General features: G+C 49.5%; 1 long non-coding RNA gene across 1 annotated transcript; it reads right to left on the bottom strand.

The window, feature by feature from the left end:
- Positions 1–3,559: 3,559 nt before the first annotated feature.
- LOC124904027 (uncharacterized) lies at positions 3,560–6,280 on the bottom strand. The gene is made up of 2 exons (XR_007065848.1): positions 6,097–6,280; positions 3,560–4,477 (listed from the first exon to the last, which is right to left on the bottom strand). It is a non-coding gene; the product is annotated as an uncharacterized LOC124904027 (long non-coding RNA).
- Positions 6,281–7,431: the final 1,151 nt, after the last annotated feature.

Here is a 7,431-nt window from a genome sequence, read left to right as displayed (position 1 = left end):
TGATTATTACTTATGAAATGCAGATTGTTTGGTAGACAAATATCTTTCAAACCTTGAGGCCCATCAGGGAGGATAATGAAAGTAACCCTTGGCAATGAGAGGGTTGAAGTTCATGGATCTGGGGGAGGCCTGGAAAACCCAACTCCATAATCAGTGATAACAACAGTCTCTTTGTTTCTCTGTCTTACTGTTTCCCTGTCTCCATGCTTGTCTGTCTATCTGTCTCTCTCTCTCTCTGGGTTTCTTCCAGCCTTTCTGCCTTCCTGACTCAGGTTTCTAGCTTTCTATGCTTGCGCCTTTCTCATTTTGTTCCCATCTTTGGCCTCCCTGATTCTAGGCAGGTCTCTTTCTTTGGTTTTTCTCTCCTCTCTAACTCTGTCTAGGTTTTTCAGGATTCCTGACTATTGGCATCTCTCATGGCCCCACATCTTCTGGTTTCCCTGGTGTCATTTCTCCTATGGCTTCTCTCTCTCTCTCTCTCTCTCTCTCCTCTCTTCTTGGCCTGCTAGTGGTTCCTGTGACATTTCCTGCCTCTTTTCTGCCATCAAAGCCTCCCTGATTCAGCGTCTTGTTGTCTAAAGGTGTCTTCATGGTGTCTGGGGAGATTCTTATGAGTGGGGTATCTTCCCTCCTGCCCCTTACTTCACTAGGCAGGAAGCTGCATGAAGCAGAGGCTTTGCCTTGCTCAATTCTGTCTCCTCAGTGCCTAGAACAGTGCCTGCCACATAGAAGGGCTGGATAAAGCCCTGCTAACTGGCAGGTTCCATGTCTCTCGGGGACTCTGCTCTTGTTTTTATTTGCCTGCTAGGTCTCCATGACTCTCAAGCCTCTCTCGTGGCCTCTGTCTCTGTCTTGTCTGTTCTGGCCTTTTTGTCTGTCTCTTATGGTATCTCCTTCTCCCTGACTCTTGACTGTGTCTCTGTCTCATTGGCATCTCCCTCGTGGTCTCCACATCTCTTCTGTCTCAGCAGCATGGACAGGCCAGAGCTAGGGCAGAAACCGGGCCAATCCTGTCAGGCCTCGTGGCACGCACAGCCTCCTGCTGGGCCTCTCTCCAGGATCCTCTAATGGAAACAACTAAAGGAGAAGCTGTTTGCTTGGAAGCAAACAGCATCAGCCCTCCAGGCAGCAAAGGCTGCCTCCAAGTTGATTCGGCCCCTTTTCTCCAGCCCAATTGCTTTGACCAGTCAAGGGCTTTGAAGAGCCTCTCAGGGCAGTAACTGCAGTGGACTCATCCCTGGCTGCACGGAGGTGTGGGGGCCACTTTCTCAGTAGGTTCTCACCATGAGTGCCCTGGATCACAGACAGATGGAGCTGCTCCTGGAACTAGCAGCCATCTCTCCTGACTGATGACTGCCTTGGCTTCAGTTAAGCATACTGCAGGGGTCTAAGCCCGGAGGAGGGTCAGCCCTGGAGGAATAAAATTGTTGGGTCTGAGTGTCTATGCTGTCAAGGCTAAGAGAGCGAGATTTAGACTCAAAAAACTGGGTTAAAGTCCTAATCCAACCACTGACTTTATGCCTCAGTTTTCACATCCGTGAAGTGGGAATAGTAGCCTTTATCTTGTAGGGTGGATAGTGGATTCAGTGTGATAATATATGAAAAGCACAATGTCTGGACTATGGTGAACACTCAGTAAATGGCAGCTATTGGAAGTGGAAGGCAATGGGTATACACAGGAGCTCTTCTGCTGAAGAAGGAAGGCATGGGTGCTAACTCTGTGACATCTTTGAGTATTTTGAGCAGCAATGCATCTAGAGTTAAAGGGTTCCAGAAGAGACAAGAGCTCCGTTTGGCCATCTGGTCCAGCCCCTTGCCTTCAGCAGATGACTTTGCAAACCACCCGGGGCAGATGGTGGGTGTTCTCTTCTGGAAGTTCTCCAGGGGCAGACACCCCCACCTCCCCTCCCTCACTCATTTCTAGCTTTCCTTCCTTCACAGTCAAGATGGGCTCCCTTATGTTCCATCTCAAAGCTTCTTGCTTCACACAGGCCTGTTGGCTACGGCACTTGCTTCACAGGCCTGGCGAAGAGTCCCTATGGGTCAGCCTTTAAGGGAGGCCATGCAAAGTGTATGTTCCCCAGGCTGCAGCTGCAATTTCTGAGGGGAGCCTTCACAGCCTCCCATTTCAGCAAATTGCAGGAAGTCAAAGATGACACGTAGTCTGCAGTACAGTGCAGAGCAAATACTCACTTGAAAATATCTCTGCCTTTTCCAATTTCCTGGAAATTGACAAGTGTTTCCAGGATTCAGCCTTTGCAGCCAGGCCTGGCTGGGCCCTATCTTTCTCTCCACGACCCCTGCTGAACCTGTGAAGTCCCCACCTCCACCCCCTGAGCCAGCTTACACGGTGGTTCTTCACCACCCCTGGGTCCACTTCTCTTGCCTCTTTGCTGTGGTCCTGTGCATCTTGGCACCTGCAGATGCTGGCAGAATGGGAAGAGGGGTTTGGGTGTGACTCGCTTCCCCTCTTTGCTCCAGATGACTCACCACCTGCCTTAGCTTTTCTCTTCCCATCGTTACATAATCCTGACTCCAGGATTAAAAATACTCCACTGAATACCCCGTCCATCTGTCATATTCTCTCTCTCTCTCTTCATATATATATGTATATATGATCTTATTTTAAAAATACTCTGGAAAGAGCACTTCCATCGTTCATTTACATCATATTAGAAATGGATTTCCGAGTCAGCACTGGCTTCCTCCAGAATAGCAGTCCTGGAGGAGCGAGATCTCCCCAAGCCTCCAGGATTGCAGTCTGTTTTGTGCCTTCACTCCCTAATAGGTTTGCCTTATTTAAAGGACACACCTTCAGAGCTGCCAAGGACTTTCTCAGAGCAGCTCCTTGGTCCCTCCGACAGCCTGGGATGGCATTTATTCTGGGGCCTGGGTGTGGGGAGGTCCTCACCAGCCTAGGAGTAAGAGGAGGTGGTGAACTGGGCCCTCTGGCCTAATTCAGGGCCCCAAGTCTAATCTCCAGGATGGGGACCCCTGAGTTTTGCTCTGCCCCCACGTCTCATGACTCTTCCTACCTTGTCTCTATGTATTAGGAATCATCCCTCGATTGATGGAGGGAAAGTGAAAGGGCTTATATCTGTTTTCCTTTTTGTGATACAACCTGAGCGACACCTAGAGCTAGAAGTGACCAGCACCCAAGATCCAGCCTCACTCATTCATACACTCCCTCATTCATATGCTCCCTCATTCATTCTACACATACTTGTTGGGGGTTTACTGTGTGCTTGGTGTATCAGACAGACAGTGCCTTCCAAGAGTGTGCAGCTGAGGTAGGGGAGAAAGATCATGTAGACCAGATAATTTAGAGTCATGGGACATAGGTTCGAGTCCAGTCTCTGCCAGATGCCAGTTATGTGTTAGTCATCAGAGCTCAGAACCTCAGTGGTCTCATCTGTGCAATGGGCACTCCTGGAGCTGGTACAGCACTAATGGGAATGAAAGTGCAGTGACACTGGGCAGAAATGTATCATTTGGTGTATAAATGCTTTCAAAGCCTGAGTTTGCTGTTGAAAAAAAGGAAATCAGCGTATCAAAGAGATATCTGCACCTTCATGTTTATTGCAGCACTATTCACAATAGCCAAGATATGGAATCAACCCAAGTGCCCAACAACAGATGGGTGGGTAAAGAAAGTGTGGTACATATACACAATGGAATATTATTCAGCCATAAAAAAGAAGGAAGTCCTTCCATATGCAGCAACTTGGGTGGAACTGGAGGACATTATGTTAGATAAGATAAGCTAGGAACAGAAAGTTAAACACCGAACATTCTCACTCATATGCGGAAGCTAAAAGAAAGTTGATCTCATAGAAGTAAAAAGCAGAACAGAGGTTATTGGAGGCTGGGAAGAGGAGTGGGGAGGAAGGATAGGGAGAGATTTTTTCAAGGACACAAAATTACAGCTAGGCGGTAGAGTAAGTTCTAGTGCTCTATAGCACTGTAGGATGACTATAGTTAACAATAACGTACAGTTTCCAATAGCTAGAAGGAGGATATCAAATGTTCCCAACACAAAGAGATAATACATGTTTGAGATAATGAATATGCTAATTACCCGGATCTGATTACTATACATTGTATGTATCGAAATATCACTCTGTACCCCATAAGTACAATTGTTATGCATCAATTAGAAAAATAAATTTAAAAAGTTGCAAAAAAAAAAAATGCCTGTGGAAGCTGCCTCCCTCATGATCCCTGCCTCCAGCCTCGACTCCTTCCATCCACCTTTTGCAGAAATCACCAGAGTGTTCGATTCAGAGCTTAGACTGATCTCTCTCCACTGGCCACAGCATCCATTTTAAACTTCTCCAAACGACGCCTGAGGCCTTCCTCCCCTGCACCTTTTCCCATCAGTCCAGCTGGACCAAAGGCCTGGCAGAATAGACAGTGCATTTTGACTCTGTGTGCCCAGGGTCCAGTGACTTTCACTCTCTGGGTCTCAGTTCCTCATCTGTAAAATGAGATAAGCGACAATATATACTCAAAGGGTACAAATGAGTGAATTCATGAAAAGCACTTAGAGAAACACACGGCACACAAGGGACAGTCAGCTGGGTTTGTTATTAGTCGAGTTGTGCAGTTCGCCCTCGGTGCCTTTAACAATGCTGCTTTCCATGCCTGGAACTCTGTTCCTGCTCCCTCTCCCTCCACCCAGCAAACTCCCACTCCCTTCGACATGCTTTCTAAAATGTAACTCCTGCGTGAAACTTGCCCCTGTTCCTGGTCTTTTGTGGCAGACATTCTGGCTTCTGATTCCCAGGCCTGTGTCCTTCTCCAGGCCCCGCTTCCTCTAGAATGTGTGCACGCCTCAGGCTCTCAGCATCTTGTCCTCCATAACTACTCACTGAGCCCTTGTCGGGTACCAGGCACCACCCCTCCTCCCACACCTTCTCAATACTCTAGTGCTTACTAAGGTAGAGTCTGTGAGCCAAGAGTCATGTACTTTTTGGCAAGCCTGAGTTGAGCTGTGTTTTCTTCACTTCTAATGCACACCACCAGGTTCTGTGAGCACCTGCTATGCACTAGGTGATGGATCCCAATTATCCCAAGAGAGATCATGCCCATTGCATGGGTGAGGAAAGTGAAGGTGGAGTGAACTGACTAGTCTCCTGCTCCCCACCCCTCCGAGGAGCTGACATTGGCTTACGTTGGCTTCAGAATCAGGTATGGGTCTCCTGCCTGCCTGATCCTGGCCTCCCATCCTTTTTGTGCCCAGACTTGCCTCCTACATCCCTGTCCCAAACTGGAAGGCTGGCAGGAACTCTGCCCGGCTCAATAGCCTGGGCCAGGCAGGTAGGAGAGGGCTGGCCTGGCCCCTGTCACTCCCTCTTGACTTAAGCCACATATCTGTCTCTCCAATAATGTGTCCCACAGTAGGACCTAGCACGCAGGTGAATCTGAGGAGGTCACTGAGCATGGGCTCTCCTGTTGTACTGATGTGACCTAATGCACCCCGGCTGCCACGCAGGGCTGGCCTCAGCTCAGCAGAGAGGTCTGTCAGGAAAGCAGGAGGTGAGGAAAATTGCTTTTTTGCTGCCCCAACTACAATTGCCTCCAGGCTGCTATAAAATCAATAAAATATCAGTGCCTGTGAGCAGGAGCCGGGCCTTGTGCCCCTGGGAAACGCCCCGGCTCTGGTGTTGGGGACTGTTCTGTGTTTGTTATTCCGTTGGATGGATCGGCGTTTAGGACAGTTTGGCAGTGGAAGGCGTCCAACATGCCCATCCCCCAGTGCATGAGCTTGCTGCCTTTTCTTCTCCTTCCAGCAGCCTCTCTCCTCCTCTCCCTCCTCCTGTCCTCTCTGCCACCAAAGTCATCGGAAGGCCTGTTTGAAGCTTAGCCTTGTTTATGCCATTTATCCCGGGGTGGAACGATCATTGCCGATGGTCCAATGTGTGCTCACAGATGCACACTCACAAGCTCACCACTCAAACACGCAGGGGCACACACACACACTCCCCTGTGCACACACAGTGACACTCACACAAGGAGGCGGCCTGCCTTCTGCTCATCTTCTGGAACTCACAGTTTCTCTCACACCCTTGCTCACACAGACCACTCCCAACCTACCGTGGAGTTTCAGACTCTCTCTCTCTCTGCTGGAGATGAAAGGGATTTGGCAGCAACATCTCTTTGTCTCTGACTTTTCCTCCATCGGCCTCTCTGGCTTGCTCCCTGTTGCTCGCAGCATCTGCACACACAGACACACACAACATGAGGGCAGACACCGCACTCCCTCTCTCTCACAGATGCATGAGCCTCAGCTGCAGCGTTCTGACTTGCAGGGTGGGCTGGAGTGCCAAGTGCGGGGTGGGGCAGTGAGGGATTCCAGGAGGTGGTCCAAACCAGAAGCCTGGCAGAGGGCCTTGGTGTTAGGACATCTGACAACACACATACAGACAAAATAACTAAAATGGAAACAACAGCTTCCACATATAGGGGAGACGCAGTGTGGTTCTGAGCATAGACTCTCAAGCGGCCTCCCTTGGTTTTGATATGTGGCTCTGCCTCTTACAAGCCATGTAGCTTTGGGCAAGTTATGTAACCTCTCTGTGCCTGGTTTCACTGTCTATGAAATGGGAGAATATCTGCACCCATCTCATAGGATGGTTATGAATTAAACAAGTTACCACATGTAAAATGCTTAGAATACTAGATGTGTTCCCTACCCTGATGGTACTATGTGCCAGACACTGGGATAAGCACTATATATGTACCAACCTATTTAATGTCCCCATTGACCCTGTAAACAGTGATTTCCCATAGAAATGACCTGCTGGAGGCCACATAGTTAATAAGGGTGGGGCTGGAGTTGGAATTTAAGTCATTGATTCATAAGCTGCAAATTATATTGCTCCCCCATCCATGACAGCTCTCCTTTCCAGAGGCATAGTCTGGGGTAAGGGGACAGGACAGCCACAGAAGCCTGGTAGGAGCTAAGACCCCTCTAGGGATCAAGGTGGGAATCATAGGCAGATGTAAGGCTGGGAACCAAGGCAGATGCCCAACGGCATTGACTGTCCAATAGCAGAGTAGAAAGAAGGCTTGGGTCACTTGGGGTGGGGGGCAATGGGAGGGCTCTGGTCCAGGGATGGCCAATGGGGATGGGATAGGAGGATTCTGGGTCAGTGATGGTGAAGGCCCCTGGGGCCAGCTGTGGGCTGCCAGGCTGGGTCAGGATGGCATGGAGAGAGACTTGAGGCTGCCCACAGAAGTCCCAGGCATGGCATAGTCCTGCTACTCCTTCTTCTGGGGACAAGGTTGGGACCTGGGTGGGCATGAACCTGCAGGGGCGGAATGAAACACTCGCACAGCCAAGTGAGGGACAAGGTACCCAGATGCACACTGGTATTTCCTGAGCCTATACAAATGTAATCCCATTGAATGCCCACCAGAACCCACCTG

The sequence above is a fragment of the Homo sapiens genome, chromosome 1, assembly GCF_000001405.40.
Source record: "Homo sapiens chromosome 1, GRCh38.p14 Primary Assembly".
Taxonomy (NCBI): domain Eukaryota; kingdom Metazoa; phylum Chordata; class Mammalia; order Primates; family Hominidae; genus Homo; species Homo sapiens.
Note: the sequence above shows the minus strand (reverse complement) of the source record. Positions and strands in the feature narration are given on the sequence as shown.